This window comes from Homo sapiens, chromosome 6 (assembly GCF_000001405.40).
Source record: "Homo sapiens chromosome 6, GRCh38.p14 Primary Assembly".
Lineage (NCBI taxonomy): Eukaryota > Metazoa > Chordata > Mammalia > Primates > Hominidae > Homo > Homo sapiens.
This window is the reverse complement of record NC_000006.12, coordinates 148,879,627-148,903,307: the sequence shown is the minus strand read 5'-3', so window position 1 is coordinate 148,903,307 and position 23,681 is coordinate 148,879,627. Positions and strand designations below refer to the sequence as shown.

Below are 23,681 nucleotides of genomic sequence, written 5' to 3'. Positions count from 1 at the left end.
AATAGGTACATGTCCTAAATGTGGGGGACATGATAATTAATACACAGTCTCCCACCATGGACTTTACATTACATAATATTATTCTGGATAATGTTATAAAACTTAAAACAGAATTGGATAAAGAGATAAAATGCATGCTTTTTGTCAATTATGTGATTCTCTATCAAAAAAAGGAAAAAGAAAATAAATGAAAAATTATTGAAATAAAAAGTTCAGTAACATGACATTATATCAGTAATTTTTCAGTATTACAACAATAAATTTAAAACATAGTGGAAAAATATTCCATCCAGAATAGCAACCAAAAAATAATAAAAATACCTATAATAACCTTTAGTGTGAAATGTAAAGACCCCGTATGGAACCAAAGAATGTTATAATAAGGAACATTCAGAGAACAACAACAACAACAAGCTCTTGTAAATGAAACATATGAGAACAGCAAGGAAGAAATGCAACAGAAGGAGTGGAAGACAGTTTCAAAACTCTTCTAGACAGTAGAGCAAAAAAGACAAAGAAAAGAAAAAATGAGAGGAACAAGGCCAAGAAACACAGACAACTACTCCTGGAGGTCCAAAATCCAAATAAGAGTAGGTTCAGAATGACAAAAAATGAAAATGTAGAGGAAGAAACAGGCAAGGTGGCTCACAGCTACAATCCCAGCACTTTGGGAAGCTGAGGCAGGAGGATGACTGAAGGCCAGGAGTTCAAGACCAACCTGGGCAACAACGTGAGACTCAAAATTCATTAAAAAATGTAAAAATTAAAACCAGGCGAGATGCAATAGCTCATGCCTGTAATCCTAGCACTTTGGGAGGCTGAGGCGGGAGGATCGCTTAAGCCCAGGAGTTCAAGACCTGGCTGGGCAACATAGCTAGACCTTGGGTCTATTAAAATTAAAAAAAAAAAAAAAATTAGCCAGGCATGGTTGCACATGCCTGTAGTCCCAGCTATTCAGGAGGCTGAGGTGGGAAGATCACTTGAGCCCAGGATTTCAAGGTTGCAGTGAGCTGTGATCACACCACTGTACTCCAGCCTGGGTTACAGAGTGAAATCCTATCTTTCTGGAAAATAAAACATCAAGCAAAGTTTCCAGAACAGGGTATCTGTTTCTAGATTGCAAAGTCCACCAAGTATCTGGAATGGTACATGAAACTTATACACACCAGACACAGAATTATACAATTTTAGAACACGAAGAATAAGAAGCTTCCACAGAGACAGATTAGATGTTCATATAAAAAATCAGGAATTCGTTTTCTCAACAGAAATACTGGAAGCTAGAATAAAACTGGCAAAAACCTTCATACTCAGAGGGGACATGATTTTGTGGCAGAGATAGTCAATGCTCAGAGTATTCATATGCTCTATCTTGCAGCCCTCTGTCAGTTAAGTGGGGCCTTGCGACAAGTTCTGGCTAATGGACTGCTCACAGAAGTGACACAAGTCAGCCAGGCGCAGTGGCTCACGCCTGTAATCCCAACACTTTGGGAGGCCGAGGCGGGTGGACCACTTGAGGTCAGGAGTTCGAGACCAGCCTGGCCAACATGGCAAAACCCCCATCTCTACTAAAAATACAAAAATTAGCTGGGCGTGGTGGCAGGCGCCTGCAATCCCAGCTACTCAGGAGGCTGAGGCAGGAGAATCATTTGAACCCGGGAGGCAGAGGTTGCAGTGAGCTAAGATCACACCATTGCACTCCAGTCAGGGTGACAAGAGCAAAACTCTGTCTCAAAAAAAAAAAAAAAAAAAGTGACACGGGTCACTTCTGGGCTGAAGGGCTGAAAAGTCTCCCTACGTGCCCCTCTAGTTCCTCTCTGCTCTGTGCCACAGTAACATTGGAGGTCCTGTGTTGAGACGGTAATGCCACAAGATGGAAACAGCCTGGATCCCTGAGCTATATAAGCTATTTCTTATACAAGCAAGAAATAAACTCGAATGTGCAAAGCCACTAAGATTTTGGAGTTTATTATAATTGCATCACCCTAACCTATCTTGATTAATATGGATTTCCAATCTGGAATTCCATATCATGTCAAACTATCAATCAAGGATGAAATAAAGATATTTTCAGAAATGCAGTATTTCAGATGACTTCTGTCCCATGCGCCTGTTCTTGAGAAGCTACTGGAGGCTGAGGAAAGAAGGCAGAATGATGGTCCCCCAAAGATGCCCATGTCCTCATCTCCAAATTCTGTGAATATGTTACCCTACATGGCAAAAAGGACTTTGCAGGTGTGATAAGTTAAGAATCCTGAGCTGAGGAGAGGATCCTGGATTACCCAGGTGAGTCCAATGTAATCACAAGGGTCCTGATAAATTAAGGAAGGAGAGAGGAGAAGGAGAGTCTGAGATCTGAGGATGCAACAATGCTGGCCTTGAAGATAAAGGAGACATAAGTCAAGAAATGCTGGTGGCCTCTAGAAGCTGGAAAAGTCAAGGAAATGGATTTGCCCCAGAGCTTCCAGAAGGAACGCATCTCTGCTGACTCTTCAATTTGAGCCCAGTGAGACCCATTTCAGACTTCTGACCTCCAGAACTGTAAGACAATAAATGTGTGTTGCTTTAAGCTACTAAGCTTGCTGTAATTGTTACAGCAGCAAAAAGGAACAAATACAATATGGTAATGCAGGAAATAGGAGTGAATACATGTAGTAGTTCATTTTCATGCTGCTGATAAAGACATATCCCAGACTGGGCAATTTACAAAAGGAAGAGGTTTAATGGACTCACAGTTCCACAAGGCTGGGAGGCCTCACAATCACGGCAGAAGGTGAAAGGCACATCTCACATGGTGGCAGACAAGAGAAGAGAGTTTGTGCAGGGAAACGCCCCTTGATAAAACCATCAGATCTCGTGAGACTTACTATCACGAGAATAGCAAAGGAAAGACCTACCCTCATGATTCAATTGCCTCCCACTGGGTCCCTCCCACAACACGTGGGGATTATTGGAGCTACAATTCAAGATGAGACCTAGGTGGGGACACAGCCAAACCATATCGATACAGAAGAGAGTGAAAGGAGATCCCAAGACACACCTGAGCATGAGGTTGAGCGAGCAAGCCGTTCTGATGGGAGCAGGCAAGAAGACCCCAGGAGAGACTTCATCAACTCCACACTGACACAACACCTAATGTGTGTGAAGGCTCCAGGGAGATTTACACAACTGAAGAAGAGTTCAAGGATAAATTGGGGATCATAGAAAAGTATGTAAATAAATTTACAAAACAAGAGAATTATTTGTTATAAAGGAAATGAAAAGATAAGCAGGAAAGGAGACATAATCATAATGGCTCAGCTGTCACTCCTGTCTACCTAGTTGCAACAATAAAATCACTGGGCATTGATTTAGCCCCAATAACATACACCTAGGCAAGAAGGCTAGATGGCACAGAAGGGTGATGGGGGGTGGGAGGTGGGTCAGCTGCAGTGAAAGAGCTAAATCCTTCTCTTGCACAGACAATGCCTAAAGCTGAGTGAAATCCGGAAGCAGCAACATAACAGGTTAACCAGGGATATGAAGTTAATACTAAAGAACCAGATAAAAGAGCAGAAAGTGACGTGCAGGGCGCCATCGGGGACCACTGTTTTTCAACAAGCACTTTGGTTCTGTAAACTCTGTGTGTTACGTGCATGCACGACTTTGATTAAACATACAAGGACTGATGAAATATTTGCAACAAATGTGACAGGAGGCTTGAATATTATTAATATACTATAAAGACTAGATGGGTGAAAATGGTTCATTTTAGTTGCCCTTGCGTGGTGGCATTGTGGGTAATTATTTTTTCCTGCTAGTCTATAATTTTCTGTACTTTCCAAATTAAAACATAATAGAAGCATGCATAATTTTTAAAACAAAGAAATGATCATACAATCTAATAAAAAATAAGAAAAGAATTAGGTAGGCTGGGTGCGGTGGCTCACGCCTGTAATCCCAGCACTTTGGGAGGCCGAGGCGGGCAGATCATGAGGTCAGGAGATCGAGACCATTCTGGCTAACATGGTGAAACCCCGTCTCCACTAAAAATACAAAAAATTAGCTGGGCGTAGTGGCGGGTGCCTGTAGTCCCAGCTACTTGGGAGGCTGAGGCAGGAGAATGGTGTGAACCCGGGAGGCGGAGCTTGCAGTGAGCCGAGATCCTGCCACTGCACTCCAGCCTGGGCGACAGAGCGAGACTCCATCTCAAAAAAAAAAAAAAAAAAAAAAAAAGGATTAGGTAGCTATATGCTATATTGGGAGCTGCTAAGATGATTAAGTTACTACAACTTGCAGAGCCCTGAGGCAACTGCCACTCTGCCAAGGAATGGTGGCATGGGTTTTCTTAATTTGCTAAAGCAGTTTCTTGATTAAATATGCTTTCCAACAACAATGTGCCATTTTAAAATTTCATGCTTCATTTAAAGCCCTTCATTTTTGTTATAGACAGCCCAGCCCCAACAACCAGTTAAGCTCATGATTTTGTAACTGAGGCTGGTCTGGATAAGGCTTGGTGAACATCTTATCAATGATAACTGGCCCCTGGGGATTGGGGTGGGGAAGATACTAAAAGAACAATTACATAAACTACATATTTTTAAAACTGTGGCTTCACAGAATTTTTTAATTAGAAAAATGAAAGATGTGCTTAATAGCACTAAACATTTGTGGAGGAAGAAATGAATTCATTATGTTCTTCTTGGGCAAGAGTAGACACATTACATGCTCATAAAATTGATAAATTTAGGACTGTGTCTGAACTTGGACATGGATCTCCACTGAAAGTTGAAATCTGAGAAAGCAGCCAGCTGGGCCAAACACTTCCACATAAATGGTTTAAGAAATGTGATGAGCGCGAAGTAAGAGTGAAGTGGGAATACAGGCGACTTCGGGATTAAAAAAACAATAACCCTATTATGTAAGGTTGATTTGTTTTCCTTTTGCAGATTATTTTACCTTATAAGCTATTAATTACCCATCTCCAACAGAATACCAAAGCATAAAGTTCTTTATAGCATACAGTGGTCTCAGAAGCTCTTATAATTATTTAAAAATAAAATGTTCACATCATTAATTTTCCTATCACTTGCAATGATAAAAAAAATGAGAGGGTGGAAGGGACTCTTTCAAGGTCATGTTCATCAGAGTGAAACTGATTCCTAACTCCCAGCCTCATTCTGTCTTGCTAGGTCTCTCTTTCTCTAAACCTGATATATTTATCATGAATCATTAAACACAAATCTATTACCCAGTGCAATTGATTCTTCCATAAAATGAAAAGCAGCTTCACTTTTGTACTTTTGTAGGATTTTTTTTTTTAAAGGACTTTTGGTAAAGTCAGGTTTGAAACAGAGAACAATATATTCTTAGGAAAAAACAAAATGGCAGGGGATTGTGAAAGGCCTTGCTTAGTGTCCTGAATTAGCCCAAAGGCATCAAAGCGGGGATACCTACAAGACCTCAATGTTCTTATAAGGTAAGAGATTCGTATCTGGTCTGCCAATTGGCATGTAATTGCTTTTAAAAATCCAAAGAAGCCAGTTGCAGTGGCTCATGCCTATAATCCCAACACTTTGGGAGGCCGAGGCAGAAGGATCACTTGAAGCCAGGGGTTCAAGGCCAGCCTGGGCAACAGAGTGAGACCCCATCTCTACCAAAAAAAAAAAGTTAGCTGGGCATAGTGGCACACACCTGTAATCCTAGCTACTTGGGAGGCTGAGGCAGGAAGATAACTTGAGCCCAGGAGGTCAAGGCTACAGTGAGCTATGATTGTGCCACTGTACTCCAGCCTGTGTGACAGGGCAAGACTGTGTCTCTAAAAAAAAAAATTAAAAATAAAAAGATAAGGCTGGGCCTGGTGGCTCAAGCCTGTAATCCCAGCACTTTGGGAGGCCAAGACAGGCAGGTCAGGTCTCAAACTCCTTGAGGTCAGGAGTTTGAGACCAGCCTGGCCAACATGGTGAAACCCCATCTCTACTGAAAATATAAAAATTAGCTGGGCATGATAGTGCACACCTGTAATCCCAGCTACTCGGGAGGCTGAGGCACAAGAATCACCTGAACCCAGGAGGTGGAGGTTGCAGTGAGCCGAGATCATACCACTATACTCCAGCCTGGACGACAGTGTGAGACTCAGTCTCAAAAAAATTTTAAAAAAATTTTAAAAGTAAAATAAAAGTAAAACTCCAACGAAAATAGGGTGTGGGGTGGGGTGGGGGACTGGGAACTAGGCTTGCTCTAAGTTATAGCAAACTGAGTTACCAGAATCTACATCAAGGAAACAGCTATAGAACCAAGGACCCATTGCTGGGTGCTACCATGTGTCAGGCATCATGCTAAGTGCATTCCAGTGATCTCACTTCAGCCTCACAATCCTAAGAGGTGGGCATTACTATCCTCTTTTAGAAATAGAAAACTGAAGCTCAAAGAGGTGACGTACTCATTTAGAGTACCTAGGGTAACTAGTGACGTAGCTAGGATTTGAACTGAGATCTGATTCTAAAACCGATGCTTCTCAGCCTCCTCCCAGGCACCAAGAATGAACAGAAAGTTCAGAAGGAAGCATGCAGCAAATTAACACAGTCACATGTTTTCAGCCTAAGGGGTGGGTGAGTGCATTGGACATACTGGATATATATTTTATTAGTCTCATTCATTTTTTTTGTGTTTGGAATAGTTCATAATTAAAAATAATTGAAAAGTTGAAAATAAAGAGGTTTCATCATTTCAGCCTTAGACAAAAATAAGAAAGTATTATAAACTTCTTGAGAACGCCAGTTCTTTGTTTTTCAAAGAAAATCAGACAATGTGGGTTTTTACCACATCGCATGTTCTTTACAGAACAATGAATAGGAGCGTGGAACCAGGGGCACCCTCTTAGCAGCAGCAATGGCTTCAGGAGCTGTGGCCACATGGAAGCATGCTAGGCAGGGCGGCCCTGCACACAACACAATTTTGTGCCAGAGATTTATTTGCTTCTTGCAGGTCCTCACAGAGAAGAGGAAAACCAGGTGGATGGGCATGTCTATATCCTGAAAAATAGGCTTTGAGGTTTTGGGAGACAGAAACAAGAAATTCATTTTTCTCTGAAATCTACTCTTGCAAGTAAAAGTGATGCTAACCAAAGGAGACTGTGTATACACACAAAATCCAGCAATCCTGCCCTCCGGGAAATGGGGACTTTTGGATCCAGAAATCTTCTCCAAGGTCACCAATGCTTAACCAAGCCAACTGAAGGTCATTGTACTCCCAATACCTTCTATAAGTAATTTACCTACTATCATTATAATATATTTGGGTTTTCATCTTTAAGCTCAAAGCAAGGAATGGACATCATGGTTTCTTTACTATAGAACATGGAACCTCTTTCTGTCAATGTGTCTCTAAATCTAAAGAAGTTATTAAAAGGGGAAAAAAATGTAATCTTTCTTAGGAACTTGTGGTAGTTTTGTGTATTAGTCCATTTTCACACTGCTGATAAAGACATACCCAAGACTGGGTAATTTACAAAAGAAAGAGGTTTGACGGAGTCACAGTTCCACATGGCTAAGGAGGCCTCACGATCATGGCTGAAGGTGAAAGGCACATCTCACATGGCAGCAGACAAGAGAAGAGAGTGAGAATCAGTGAAAGCAGTTTCCCCTCATAAAACCATCAGATCTTGTGAGATGGATTCACTACCACAAGAACAGTATGGAGGAAACCACCCCCATGATTATCTCCCACTGGCTACCTCCCACAACACTTGGGAATTATGGGAGCTACAATTCAAGATGAGATTTTGGTAGGGACACAGCCAAACTGTATCATATTGTTAGCCTAACGGTTAGTTAGGCTGAGAAGTTTCCTGTAGAAATAGGGGCACATTGTTTGAGAGACAGCAGACTTCCTTACTGTTTTTCTTTGTTGCTCTCATGTCCCTCTGTTGTGTGGCAACAGGATCTCTCTCTTCGGTAACTTTGTCTTAAATGAATTGTCACTGAGATCCTTTTCAGAGAAAAATATGATGTAATATAATATGTTTTTTGTGTAGAAGATAACACAATTTGAACAGCAGGAATGAATTTTAAATAGAAGAAATTGGAGAGAATGTTGGGGCTAATAACACAGCTAAAAACATGAGAATGATGAGGAAAAGTGAAGAAAGAAGGTTGGGGGGAAAACCTGAGTGGTATGGAAGGTTGGAAAAAAAACTTAAAAATGCACTGAAATGCCAGGCGCAGTGGCTCATGCCTGTAATCCCAGCAGTTTGGGAGGCCGAGGTGGGTGGATCACAAGGTCAAGAGATCGAGACCATCCTGGCCAACATGGTGAAACCCCGTCTCTACTAAAAATACAAAAATTAGCCAGGCATGATGGTGCACACCTGTAGTCCCAGCTACTCGGGAGGCTGAGGCAGGAGAATTGCTTGAATCCGGGAGGCGGAGGTTGCAGTGAGCCAAGATCGCGCCACTACACTCCAGCCTGGCAATAGAGCGAGACTCCATCTCAAAAAAAAAAAAAAAAAAAAAAGCACTGAAATTATCCTGATAAGCTTCTAAAAATGGTTTCAATGTTTCTTAAATCAAATCAAATAATGCCTAAAAGGCATAATACTTAATAGTATCCTAGTAACTGAAGATATTAAACTCAATCCATTTGCATTGCTACCTGGGGCTGCTGTAACAAAGTACCACAAACTTGGTGGCTTAAAACAACAGAAATTTACCGTCACAGTTCAGGAGGTCAGAAATCTGAAATCAAGGTGTCTATAGGGCTGGCTCCTGCCTGGGGGTTTGGAGGGGGAACCTGCTCCATGCTTCTCTGCTCGTTGGTGGCTGCCAGCCATCCTTGGTGTACCTTGGTCTGTGGCAGCATAACAGCATAATCCCAATCTGCCTCCATTGTCCCTACTGCATTCTCCTGTGGGTCTCTATCTCTGTGTCCAAATTTCCCTCTTCTTATACAGACATCAATCATTGTCTTTAGGGTCCACCCTTCTCCAGTATGACCTCATCTTCATCTGCAAAGAGCCTAATTACAAACAGGATCCCACTCACAGATTCTGGGGTTAGGATCCAATGTATCTTTTGGGAAAACATAATTCAATCCATGACACCATTCAAAACTGGATTTGTGACTGATCATTCCTTTCCTACTACACAATTACGTAGACATGGACTCCACTGCCTATCATCTTTTCTCTCTTTCCTGTTAAAGCCAAGCTCCTCAAAGCAGTTCATATCTCAATTTCCCACCTACCACTCTTAAAACTCCAGCAGTGAGGCCCATCCCTTCTCATCCTTTCCATCCTAGACTTTTTTTTGAAGAGACAGAGTCTCACTCTGTCACCCAGGCTGGAGAGTGGTGGTGCAATCATAGCTCACTGTAACCTCCAACTCTCTGGGCTCAAGCGATCCTCCCACCTCAGCCTCCAAAAGTGCTCGGATTAGAGGCATAAGCCACCATGCCTGTCCGCATCCCAGGTTATCTGACCTAGTTAGTTCCTCCTATTCAAACTTCAGGACTTGCACCTGGAAAAAAGGTCAAGTTGAGCTTCCTGCATTCTCCTTGTGTTGAGTGTGCATCCTCATCATAGCATCCAGCAGCCCACTTAGCATACTTACTGTATGAATCTGTTTGCCAGCCTGTCCTTTGACTGGACTAAACTCCCGGAGGGCATAGACTGTGCATTCTGTGGCCTGACAGCCTCAGCACCCAGCACAGAGCCCAAGACAAATTTGATGCATAGTAAACACTTGGATGAATGCATGTCACTTAGACTTAAGAATCTATCAGTCACAGAAGCATGTGCTCTCTGTCTTTGATTCCATCAAACCTCATGACACAACCAGATTATAAGCTGTTAGATTACAGAGATCATCTTCAATTCTTTAAATGTCTTCCTGATCCCTTAGACTAAGTAGGCATTAAACAATCAATACTAAAGGGAAATTAGCTTCTGGGGGTGTAGGTAGGAAGGACTCAACTTTATTGAGCAATGGTTCACTGCCAGACACTGCAAAGCACTATACAAATATTATCTCAGTTCATATTACTACTTCTCATTCATTTGGAGATTGCTGGATCAGCATAATAATTGTAAGCCGCCTTCTAATGAACCCATTTTACAACGGAATTTTGAATACTAATACTTTATATGCAAACATAATATTTTATATATAAAAATGCTTTTGTATGTAAGTGTAGATATCAGTAATATATCTTAACCCTCAATATACTATTAGCATCCATTGGACCCACTTTTAGTTTTTTAGGTTTTATAAATTTGAAGCAGTTCTAGCTATTTGTATGGATTAATATTTTATAACTTTATTCTTTCTTAGAGATATTACAAAGAAAAAGAGAAAATACTTTTTTTTAAAAAAAGAAAGAGAATAAAACTCATTCTACCTTGCAACTACCATATGGGTCCAGCAGACCGTTTAAGAAAATCTAAGATCCATTATGGCATCTTTGTAATTTTATTATTCCTATATCTTGAAACAGTTTGCTATTTTATCATCTCAGGAACAATTACCCACCAGTTATATATCAATTATTCCCAAATAAGGTTTAAGAAGACTAAAGTAATAGAAAAATATAAGAACAATAGAATGGATTAGAACACTGCCATTCAGTAGAATGTTCCTTGATGATGAAAATGTTCTATTTTTCTTGTGCAAGACAGTAACCACTAGCTGCATATAGCTACAGAGAATTTGAAATGTGGCTAGTGCAATGGAGAAACTGAATTTTTATTTTTTTAATTTTAATTAATTTAGATTTAAATAGCTACCTGAGGCTAATAGCTACCATATTAAACAATGTGAGCCTAAGGGAATGATTCATTAGTGAAATAAATTGTCACTATTGCATCACCCTCCATCTTTCTTATTGTATTACCCAAAGTATTACATCATCTTTTTGGAGGATATAAAAGGAGACTAGAGACATCATCTTTGTAGTTTGTTTTAATTTCATTGACTAGAGTGGAGAATTTCAAATTTTTCATTCTTGCCTATAATGACAAAAAGAAGATAACTGACAGAAAGAGAGATGAGATTTCACAAACAACAGAAACATCAGAGATGAATGCAAGCCATCACACGACGGCACTGAAGACTCTAATGATGATGATGAAATTGATCATGGAAACGAAACGTCAGACTACGACTCTTCAGATGATGACATGATAGATTAATTCTCTTAGACTCTCTAAATATATTGAATGAACAATATATTTCTAAGGACAAAAAGAAAACATGCTATTCTTATACAGTCAGTCGTTCAAGAGGAAGGATTCCCTCAAATAATATTTTGTGAAAAGAACCCGGACCATCCTGTTTTGCTAAATGAATGTGGGATGGTATTCTTTCACCTTTTCAAGTCTGTATACCAAAATTTACTTTATATACAGTTTGAAAACGTTCAGGTGCTGAAGGTAGCTAAGTATACAAAGGTTACTGGAAGAAAACGGATAAAGTAGATGTGAAAAGGTTCACTGCATTGATTTTAAAAAATTAAGTGTCCTTTGAACCCAAATGGTAAATGGTGATGACTATTTTTTTCTGGTATACTGAAGGTTAAAATTTGTGTATTATACTAATCAATGTACCAGATTGCTTATTTAAAAGTGCAAAAATTTAGAAATAAGGTAGAAAATTATTGTATTTCTACTTAAATTAGTAATTTTGAAATGGTTAAAAACATGAGCACTGGAGCTATACACAGCCCTGGGCTGGAATCCCAAGTCCAATGCTTACTTAGTGTGTGACCTTTGGCAAGTTAGCCTGTCCCTCTAAAATCCAGCTCCCTTATCTGTAAAGTAAGGATTTAAAAATTACTTCCTCTCTTATATCATTTATAGAGATTAAATTTTGCATGCAAAGTGCTTAGCATAGTGTGTGGCACACAGGAAAAAACAGATATGGATAGCGATTTTATTATCTTTGAGGCGGTTAGAACAGCTCTCCTTATCTATGGGGTTTGGGATGTCAATGTATATGAAATGATATCCACATCCTGTTTGTTACCAACAGAACTTATCATTGCTGCTGCCCGCTGCTTGCACCAGGTACCCACGTCCCAGGTGAAGTGAAGCCAAGGAGGGGAAACGTCAGCTTCTCGGGTCTGTGGACACTGCACATGATGCTGCAGAGGCCACGGCACTGAAGCCTTTAAACCCAACTGTAATCTTCTCTCATACCAGAAAATTTCTTTTTCTGATTTTTAGATTGAGCAGGTGTTACTTTAATGAACTCAAATTATGCATTAAAGTATAAGGAACTGGGTAGAAGCTTCCCAAAATCTCACCACTTGGAGAAAACACTATTACCCTTTCCAGGCTTGTCTCTGTAGGCATACATACAAACATATGCGTGCAATTTCACAAAAAGAGCTATCATGCTTTTGTTTTTGTACTTAAAATAATCTTTCTGTTTCATTTGCTAGAAATCTCCATGGTGATTCTTAGTCAGTGCTCTAACCTTAAACCACCGTATTCTGTGTACATACAAAGTAGTGGTAAAATGTGGCAACCGAAAGAAAATATTAACATCGACCTGTAAATAGCGGCTTAGTTCAAAAACCGAGGTGAGCTGTGAGGTTCAAGTGGATTTTAAAAACAAGTGAAAATCAGAGGGCTTTGTTTTTTCTTATGAAAATATTGGACAGAATGAGGACGGGGGCCCAGTATGTGTTGTGTGGCACACCCCATTCCCTAAATGGCTATTACTTGTGGAATGTGAAACTTGTGAAATTGAACATTTAATAAAATGAGAACTCGCCTGTAACGTCAGTATATTTTCAGGGTTTAAAAATCTTATTTTATCTAGATCTCAACTCTTTCAGTCTTGGCATCAAAAAGTTATTTTTTGAGCACTAAGCAAATATGAAAAAGATGGGTCTGGACTGAGTCTTGCTTTTCCCTGCCAGGGTAAGGGTTCATTCCAGAGGCCAGGCATGTGTGAGTCCTCATCGTCTGCATGCCACCCTGTCCCTGGATAAGCCAGTGGTCTACAGACCTAAACCACTGAGGCCCCACCCCAGGGGACACTTAAGGGACCTTTATCCGGAAGTCTGACCTCATCACTTCTGAGATTCATTTCCACCCTGCCAGAAGCAATAAGAACGGATGAGAAGATGTTCACATACCAGTAATATTTTTACCCATTTTTATATTCTTCTTCTTATGGCTACTGCTTAGAAAATCAAGAGTATTTTGCTGCTCCAATCCCAGATAATGAAAATACAGTTATAGTGAAAGCTTCTGTATTAGGTAAACTTCTGCTGATTTAAAGAGATTATGCTCCCAATTTTCAAACTTAGTAAAGAGTTTATAAAACTGGATTTACTCTAAAGGGGTCTGAATAATCTGCTATAACCTGATCATTTTTGCATATTACAAGAAGCTTTAGTTAGGGGTTGGGGGAGATATGGGGGAGTTGAAGACCAGACTGTAGGGGCAGGGGGAAGAGGCACAGCTAGGGAAGACCCTATGGGAGAAGGGGAAGTGAAGCCAGCCAACACCGAATCTAGGCACTGACAATCCCAGCAAAGAGGCAGGCAGGACAGACAACCCAGCCACAGCAAGACCAGCAGGAAGACCAAAGTGTTGACTCAGGCTGGCCACCAAGGAAAAAGGTCAAAAAGGCAAGTTCATAAAAAAAGGGTCTGGGTCTTCAGACCAGATAAAATCCTGTTTACCAAGCCAGGAACAAAAAGCCATTGAGGAAAACAGCTGATGGGTCCCATTGACAGAGCCACCTAATCCAACTCAATAATATCATGACAGGGCAGGGGGCTATGGAGTGCTTCACCTTGCCCCTCCCTACCTGGGAGAAAAAGGAAGTCACTGGTGAGGACACCTACCAGGACCTTCGGCACCATTCTTCTTTTCCCCCTCTATTGTCCCTCCTAGGCAGGTAACTGACCCCTCTAAAAATGTTTTCTCTACAAGAAAACTTACAATGGTGAGTCATCATTACATTAATAAATAAACTTTAGATAATAGCCATATCACTCTCTCTAGGCTATTAACAGTAAAAACACCACAGAAAATGTCTAAGGAAATGGTTCTCTTTATATTCATGGCCTTTAGAACAGTGGCTCTCCAATGTGAACTCCAGACTGACAGCATCAGCATCATGTGGGAGCTTGTGAGAAATGCACATGCTCAGCTCCCACCCCAGACCCACTGAATCAGACACTCTGGGGCCTGGGCCCAGCAATCTGTGTTTTAATAAGCCTCCAGGTACTTTCGATGCAAGCTAAAGTTTGAGAATACTGGCTCAGTGAAAGAACCTGGGATGGAAGCCAGAAGACCTAATTCAGATTCCAGCTCTGGATTCCATGGTCTAATTCAGTGAAATTTAATGAATAGTCATGATGTGCCTCTGTGCATTGAGGCTAATACAAGAATGTGAGGATACTGAGACGAGTTAGACACGGTCCTTATCCCCAGAGAGAACATAATCCTCTATATTCCTTTGCTCCTCTAGAATAGAGGCTATTTTTGTTGTTGTTGTTCTTGTTTTGTTTCATATTTGTATTTCTACCACCTGCAGCATCACAGGCATTCAATAAACAGGTGGTGGATCAAGTGGTAGAACCATTCCACGACTGTGATAAATACTGCTGTACCACTCATCAATAATTTTAATGTTACTGCAGTACAGTTAACAGCAGCCACCCTTGATTTAATGTTTATCGCATGTCAGTGTCAAGTGTTCATCATACATCAGCTCATTCAATCATTTTAGGCATCCTGTGCTGTAAGCGGTATTTTTAGTCCCACCCTGCACATGAGAAACTGAGGCTCAAAATATTAAGTAATTCATCCACTGTCACACAGCTAGAAAGTGGCAGCGTCAGTGTTGAATCCAGAAATATCTTCTTCCAAAGTTCATGCTCATGAATGTGGGGGTGGTCTAAACATACTTTGGGGCTGATTTGTTTGGATCTGTGTCCCCACCCAAATCTCATGTCTAATTGTCATCCCCAGTGTCGGAGTGGCCTGGTGGGAGGTGACTGGATCATGAGGGTGGATTTTCAGGGTTTAGCACTATCCCCCTTGGTGCTGTCATGGCGACAGTGAGTTCCTGTGAGATCTGGTTGTTTAAAAGTGTGTGGTACCTCCCCCAATCCCTCTTGTTCCTGCTCTGGCCACGTAAGATGCGCCTGCTTCCTCTCTGCCTTCCACCATGATTGAAAGTTTCCTGAAGCCTCCCCAGAAGCTGAGTAGATGCCTCTATCATGCTTCCTATACAGCCTGTGGAATTTTTTAAATTACCCAGTCTCGGGTATTTCTTTATAGCAATGCAGGAATGGACTAATACAGGAGTAAATTTCCCCAAAGCCTCTAAGGTTGGGGGTTCATTATCTTCTCACCGTGTATTTACAACTGCATTTTGTAGGCATCACCTTAAGTGGTCAAAGACTAAGAAAACAACCAAGTACAGGGAGAGCTAGAGTGCTTGTATCTACACTTTAAGATTTCACAGGCCAGAAAGAACATTCTTGAAGTGACAGATAGAGGGTTGCCAACTTCTTATTTTGCCAAGCACAACCCCTTCCCAAGTACTGATCAACAATCCCCATCATTTCCTAGAAGGAAAAAAAATGATGTCAAAAAAGTACAAGGGACATACGGTTAGAATAAAGGGTAATTGCATTGCATGTATTTTCTTATATACAATGATCAATTTGTTCTAGTTTGCTCACTTTTCAGTAGATTAGCATTCGGTTTTCATTGAGCTCAAGAAAGTAAACAGTGTTAGGGAAACTATACTAAAGGATTATTCTGCCCCTTAAGTCAGACAAAACTGCTTACAGGAAAAACAAAAGTGGACTCACAGGCCAGGCCAGGGCAGCCTTGAGGTGGTATTGGCAGGGCCTCAAGTGGAGTATCCCAACCCAGTTAGGCTGGAGAGAACAGGACAGATGTGAGTCTAGCCCCAAAGCCCGAAGGCATGGGGAGGCCGGGTGTGGCTATCACACTGTGGGCCAGCATCGATGCCAAGGCAAATGAAAATGAGGTGCAAACAGGAGAAGCTGCCAGAGGTCTGAAGTCAGTCTCAGGCTCCAATGCCTGGGCAGCAACAGCCACTGATTCAACAATGGCTCCTTCTCCCTGTCATCTGGGCTATCATCATGCTTTTCTGCTTCCTCCTTGTTAGAAGTTAAACATCAATTTCACATATGTCATCTACTGTTTCTTGTGAATGATTCGTGTCCAGGAGAGATCTGTTCTGCTTGTTGGAGGCTGTAAGTAAGATAAAAGAAAAAGGGGACTTATATCACAAGCAAAGATCTTACCTTACTAGGAGGTGGTCCATGGTCATCCAAGTAAGTGGAATTTCCTAGAAAATAAAGGAAAAAGTTGATGAATCCGTTTTTTAAATCCCAAATGAATTTAGTGCAAAGTTATTGAAGATAAGCATTCTAGTTATACAGTATTTCTGCTCAGACAACAGTACCAAAGAAAAATGGGGAATTAATCACTGGTTTGACTGGATTTTGCTGATATTACTATGTTTGATTAATAGTTTCAGCTGTTACAAACATTCTACATACATGGTTATGTATGCACACAAACATACATAACACACACAGTAACACGCACCATTATTCTCACCCATTATCTGCTGAGTTTAGCTTAGACCATTGGTACTCAAATGTTATTGTACTTCAGAATTACCCGCAGGGCTTGTTGAAACAAGACTGCCCAGCCCCAGTCTGAGAACCTGCATTTCTAACCAGTTCCCAAGAGATACTGATGCTGCCGGTCCTGAACCCCATACTCTCTTTCTCCAATTTGTCTTAAAATTGTCTGTTTCTCTTCTCTCTTCAGGCTAGCTTGCTTCCGGAGCTTGATTTGTCTTCACTAATAGCCATTTACTGGCATGTGTGTATTCAGAGTGCACGGCTATTGTTTCCTGATGAATAAAAGACTCAGAGGGATTTGGAAGGGAATTAAAGTTTACTGACTTCCTTTCAGTAGCAGCTACTCTGCTAAGTGCTTTACAGGTATTTATCTATTTAATGCAAATACCAGAGATGGATTAGAAGTGTCCCCTTTTAACAGAGGAGAGAACAGAGGCCTGGAGAAACTCAGTAACCTATGCACAGTCACACAGCTGGTAAACTGCAGAGAGGAGAGAAGACTGGTTTTTCCAGAGCATGTTCAGGCATCTACCCATCTGAAAAGCCTACCTAGAGTCCTTCCTGCCATCTCAGGCTTCTGTGTGAGGCAGGCACTGTAAACATTACCATCTGGAGACATCTGATCACCTGGGGAGCCAAAGATGCAATCAGTATAATCGAAGGCGCCTATCCAAGAGGGGTAACTCTTGTGAGTCTAGGGAAAATCATCTCACCAGAAAAGTAAAAATGACCAAACAAGCTAATGGAATGAAATGTAGAAAATCATGGAACGGAACTGCAAGAATACCTCTAGAGAACAGTAGATGATTGGGGGATAAGGTCAGTGTCTTAGTCTGAGTGGATGAAAGGTGCTTTTGACAGCAGAGAGCAAAAATGACTTAAGAAACTGGACTAAGAAGGGGGAAGCAGGGCTTAAGCCAGGGACAGTTGAACTGGGGAAATGTATCCAAACATAATAAATAAGCGGGTTCTGGCTTATAGGTTTTTCCATACTGAGTCATCATCCTTCCCCTTTTCTTTGTCATCTTCTGATTTATAGCCCACTTGGTGTTCACAGTGGCCATTTGTATATAGTAAAGGAACATCAGGGTCCAGTTTTAGTGTATAAGACACTTAAACACAAACACCCAGCATGCCCATGATTGGGCTATTTTAGGACCCTTTTAAATGTGAACATGATGAACAATTTGTTAGACCTTAATTAATGTACTTCTGAACTCCACTGAGAGCGTGCATGAATAGGATGTAAGATCTATGTTGGATTTAGTAAAGAGGTTATATGAGTCAAAGAATTCAGAAAAATAGCTGCCTGTGCCTAGAGAACTATTTAGAAATATTCTACCACCGTGCAGCTGGTGCGGCTGCCTGGAGCTCCCATCTGCTCAGCATGGGAATATGCCTTCCCCAGGGGAAGCGTGAGAAATCCCAGCACACACCAGCATGTTCTCCAGGAATCAATCTCAAGGATCGAAGACAGCCTCAACAACTAAATATTTCTAAAATACTAAATTTTCCATAAGAACTGAAGTTCCTAAAAACTCCTAAAAAAGAACGATTTAAATGCCTGATTCCTACCTCAAACTCCAGGCTCGGGTACCTACTAACTCCTTGGCACCTCAGCTTGGATGTCTAAAGGCATCTCACACTTCCCCTGTCCAAAACAGAACCCTATTTGCTCCAATTCCATCCTGCAAATTTCTGCCTCCACTGTCTTCCTTATTGGGTTATACAATATATCCCTTCCTCCAAACGTGTCCCATTTTTCAGGCCAAAGCCCAAGAGTCATTCTTGATCCATGTTTTTCCCCTATGCTATAGGTACCAACCCAAAGACAAGTCCTATTGGCTTGGCTTTCAAAATATAACTCAAATCTGACCACTTCTCACCAGTCCCTCTGGGCCATATGAGAGATGCCTTGTGTCTCTATCACCAATTTCCTCTCCTACTCATATAGCAACCAGAGAGATCGTTCAGCCTTATCTACTAGATCATGGTAGCCCTCTGCTTAAACTCAATTTCTCTACACACAAAAGAGTCAGCTCCTCGCCATGGTCTGTAAGGCCCTGCATCACCCAGGCCCCACCTCCCCCTCCATGCACCACTAGCCACCACAGCCTTCTCTGTGGTTCAGAGCACTCCAGCCTCTTGTCAATGAGGGGCCTTTTGAACTGGCTCTATCCTCTTCCAGAAAAGCTCTTCCCCACCCTCTTCATTCAGTCTCTATTCAAATGGAACTTCTTTATAGATGCCCACTCTGAATACCCTGTCTAAAATAGCACACTCATTTACTTGTTTACCGTCTTTCTCTTTCAGCTAGTGTACAAGCTTTATGAGAACAGGGACTTGTGTGACCTGTTCATTGCTTCAGTTCCTAGAACAGAGCCTGGAAAATAGCAGGTACTCAGTATTCACTTAATGAACGAAATACCACATTAACTAACTCTTTATACCAAAATCTTAGCAATGGCTTGTAAGAAGGAACTATTACTAGTACATTAGCCCAGTTTGCTCCTTAGCCAAAGGGTCTGCAATTTTTTTTTTTTTTTTTTGAGACGGTGTCTCACTTTGTTGCCCAGGCTGGAGTGCAGTGGTGCAATCTTGGCTCACTGCAACCTCCGTCTCCCGGGTTCAAGCGATTCTCCTGCCTCAGCCTCCCGAGCAGCTGGGATTACAGGCATGCACCACCACACCTGGTTAATTTTTTGTATTTTTAGTAGAGACAGGGTTTCTCCATGTTGGCCAGGCTGGTCTTGAACTCCTGACCTCAAGTGATCTGCCCGCCTCGGGCTCCCAAAGTGCTGGGATTACAGGCGTGAGCCACTGCGCCTGGCCCAGTGTTTTTAATAAGTGAACAGAAGCACTAATCATGGAGTTTGGGGGAAAAGACCTATTTTAGAGGACACACATTGTGCAGAAGTCCATCTCATAATTTATCCCCTTATAACTCAATGCCATGACTTAGCTATCTGTATGATACTGGGTCATTTTCTTAATTTCTCCGTATCTATCTCTTTTTGTGTAAATGAAGAGAATGATGGTATCCAGGTCATAGACATGGTCTGGGATTAAGTGGAATAATGCATACAGAGCACCCAAGTCAGGATTAAGCACCAAGTAAGCCCTTGATAAAAGTTAAATATTGTGACTGTTGTTACTGTCATTTCTATTCAACCTCAGTGGAAACAGGAAGTCCAGTCTGTTAAGCTTTTACATGGATGTGTAGAATACTCAATGTTTCCATAAGAACTGAAGTTCCTAAAAACTCCTAAAAAGAATGATTTAAATGCCTGATTGCTTCCTCAAACTCCAAGCTCGGGTACCTACTAACTCCTTAGCACCTCAGCTTGGATGTCTAACGGCATCTCACACTTCCTTCTAGACAATCCTTCTCACTACCTTCCACCTGGTATTGGTCTAAGTCCTATGGCATACCTTTGACTCAACAGTTAAAACCTTTGTTAGTTCTAAGTGAGAAATACTAAAATAAGAGAACAGTGTATCACAGCAAAATGGTCAATTCTATCTCTTTTCTATTCAATGACTTTTTGTTTTAAGGACACTGGCTTTGTAGCTGTCTTAACAGTTATGTCTACACTAAATTCTTTCCCTGGTAGAGTTAAGCATTACCTCAAAATTGAGATGCGCGGATACGCATGACAAAAGTTCCTCAGCATGGTAAGAAGAGATGTGGGCAATGTGGGCCGCACTAGTTCTCTACCTCCTCATTAGGCATTCTCGCATCTACATATTCAATCAGTATTTACAGAGCACCTCCTATTCTGTAGAAGGATCTAGAAACCAAATAAGAAATGAAAATCCTATTTTTTGCCACTGGATTGTATAACAACCTTTATTGAGTGTTTACTACTTGGCAGGCACTTTGTAAAGATCATTTTATCTAATCCTCACAAGCGCCCCTCAAAGCAATATTAGTCAAGCATTTTACCCACATCTCCAGTAAACAAACAGCGGAATTCAAACCCATACAGGCTGACTACTGTTGACACCTCCTGCTCCATAAAATGCAAAAATATTCTAATATAATTCGTCATTTTCTTATCTTTCCCCTTCCTTCTTTCTTTCTTTTCCCTCCTTCTACCTTCCTCCTCCCCCATTCCTTCACTGTAGAAGACTTTCATAATCAGATGTCACATCACAGAAATGAGACAACTCTTTTTTTTTTTTTTTTTTTTTTGAGATGGAGTTTTGCTCTTGTTGCCCGGGCTGGAGTGCAACGGCGCAATCTCGGCTCACTGCAGCCTCTGCCTTCCAGGTTCAAGCAATTCTCCTGCCTCAGCCTCCCGAGTAGCTGGGATTACAGGCACCCGCCAACATGCCCAGCTAATTTTTGTATTTTTAGTAGTGATGGGGTTTCACCATGTTGGCCAGGCTGGTCTCAAACTCCTGACCTCAGGTGATCCACCCGCCTTGGACTCCCAAAGTGCTAGGATTGCAGGTGTGAGCCACTGCGCCCAACCAGAAATGAGACAACTCTCTTTAATGCTTCTTTCTGTGCACATAAAGGAACAAGGGTCCTCGGTGTTGGCACCTGGACCATGGGCCCTGTTATCTCGGTTATCTCACCAGCAGATCACCGTGCTCCCATGGTTTCTTAGAACTCAGAGGCTATAAATGCTTTGCCCTTATAAGAGAGGTATAGAAAGGGGGAAAGAAAAGTTGCATAGACAGAAGGTATTTCTTTAGCAGGAGACAGTGAGTTTCTCTTCTTCTAGGGTATAACTATTTTATTATTTGATATGTAGGTAGAGCTTTTCATCCTAGGATTTTACGCTTTCATCAGAGTGCAAAGTCAACAAAACTGTCAGAATTTTAAAAAATGAAGTTGGTAACTTGCTCCCTGTGGAGATCAAAGGATGAGTGCTGTTATCAAAACGAGCTTTCTTGGAGAGGCTCCCAGGCATCAAAGGAGCTTCTGGCTACTCTGCCTTGTCAAGGAGTCGATGGTGGGTGTTAAGTTGTGGGGATGGAAGGGCAGCCCCAAACTCTCCAGGCCTTTGAGCATGGAGCTCAAGATCTAAATTCGGGGAAGGGAAGAAAAGGTGGAAGTGGGCTGGCAAGGGTCTGGACCAGGACAGAGGACAAGCACGCTCCTGACACCCTCCTCCACATGTCCTGTCTATACCCACCCAGGGCACCCCAGGCTCAGATCCAGACGGCAGCACTGTGCCAGGCAGGACATTCTTATTTTCAGAGGCCTCTATGGGTAAATCAGTTCATTTTTTTCTGAAAAGTAACCTATACCTTTAGAGTTTTGATTCCAGCCTTGTTTTCATGGCTCAAGTCCCTCTGATGGGGATCATGAATTACAGTGTCTTGTCAAGCGGGAAAAACTTCACACATTCCCATTCCTATCATCAGCCAAACTTTCTGAGTTTGTCACCTAACTGCCAAGAAATCACTAGTGAGGGCTGGCCATAGAGCTTAACCTCTTAGAGAAACTTAAGCTTAACCAGGCCCCTCAGGTAAGCGGAGGAGACAAAAGGTGGCTTTGACGCCCTAGTCCATCCCTGGGAACTCCATGCTGCTGCTCTATACCTTGCAGATGGTGGTGGTTACATACTCTATACATTGATAGAAGAATACACCAAAACCAACAACACTACACTAACGGTTTAATTTTTTTTTTTTTTTTTAGACGGAGTCTGGTTCTGTCACCCAGGCTGGAGTGCAGTGGTGTGATCTCGGCTTACTGCAAGCTCCGCCTCCTGGGTTCACACCATTCTCCTGCCTCAGCCTCCTGAGTAGCTGGGATTACAGGCGCCCACCACCACACCCAGCTAACTTTTTGTATTTTTAGTAGAGATGGGGTTTCACCATGTTAGCCAGGATGGTCCCGATCTCCTGATCTCGTGATCCACCCACCTTGGCCTCCCAAAATGCTAGGATTATAGGTGTGAGCCACCACACCCTGCCTAATATGTTTTTTAAATGACCTGACTAGAAGGCAAGTGATCTCAGATTTTGCAACCAGCTAAATTACAACACAATCTAAATTTCACCTTACCCATCTAGCCCTTCATGATGGAGCCCTCCCAGGGAGGTTGTAAATGTAACATGAGGGATCACATGGAAAGGTACAAAGGCGTTACATCCAAGTACACAGGAGTTAGTTGGAGCACTTGGAGGACTTTGTATGTACTACCTGAGTCTCTGCATGGCAGTATGTTATCAAGATCTCTTTACTTTGGCAGTTTTATAAAATATTTTTAGCAAAGATGCATTTCAAGAAACTCATGTGAAGTCTGATTCTAGGAATTAGGAGGCCAGGATTTGTAACTCAGAATCTGAAGATCACTGTTTACTGTACTACACCTGGGTCTCAGCTGGCAGAACCAAGGCATGTTTGCTGTCCAAGACCACCTAAGTCTTCTATGACAAGACAATGGATATGAAAAGTCAGAGATCTGGCTGGGTGCTGTGGCTCATGCCTATAATCCCAGCACTTTGAGAAGCTGAGGTGGGTGGATCACCTGAGGTCAGGAGTTTGACACTAGCCTGGCCAACATGGTGAAACCCCATCTCCACTAAAAATACAAAAATTAGCTGAGCCTGGTGGTGGGTACCTGTAATCCCAGCTACTCAGGCAGCTGAGGTGGGAGAATTACTTGAATCCAGGAGGGAGACATCACAGTGAGCTGAGATCGTGCCACTGCACACCAGCCTCCAGCCTGGGCAACAGAGCAAGACCTTGTCAAAAAAAAAAAAAAAGAAAAAAAAAAGAAAAAAGAAAAGTCAGATATCTTGCACCTAGACAAACAGGTTAAACTTCACCTTTGTAGTAGAGAATGCCCCATGAAACATGATTTCACTCTGAATACACTGCTGTACCTCCTCAAGGTTTTCCAAGTACACATCAGTGAAAATGAAATAAGCTGATAGGTTATTGTAAGGAATGCATGAGAATAATTTTGTTCTATGAAAAATGCTCAGAACAACACCAGCACATGATAGGCACCTAGTAACTGTTCACTAGCAGTACTAGCTGCACTACTACAAGTAGCAGTAGCAGTATTAGAGCCGCCTTCACTGCCTCA

At 41.7% G+C, this 23,681-nt stretch overlaps 1 protein-coding gene across 7 annotated transcripts in view, besides 1 other annotated feature; it reads right to left on the bottom strand.

The window, feature by feature from the left end:
• UST (uronyl 2-sulfotransferase) overlaps window positions 1-23,681 on the bottom strand; it is a 329,961-nt gene that overhangs the window by 173,683 nt on the left and 132,597 nt on the right. For all 7 annotated transcript variants that reach the window (XR_001743088.3, XR_007059195.1, NM_005715.3 and 4 more), the window contains exon 2: window positions 16,279-16,322. Coding sequence is in view for 5 of the 7 variants with exons in the window: in NM_005715.3 (NP_005706.1) it covers window positions 16,279-16,322 (44 nt within the window). In the remaining 2 variants the exon portion in view is untranslated. The remainder of the gene's footprint in view (window positions 1-16,278; window positions 16,323-23,681) is intronic.
• Window positions 18,720-18,769: a silencer, noted in NCBI's record as "silent region_17655". NCBI's record gives its function as "represses an Ori minimal core promoter by ATAC-STARR-seq in GM12878 lymphoblastoid cells {active_cell/tissue: GM12878}" and the evidence as "EXISTENCE:reporter gene assay evidence [ECO:0000049][PMID:35858748]".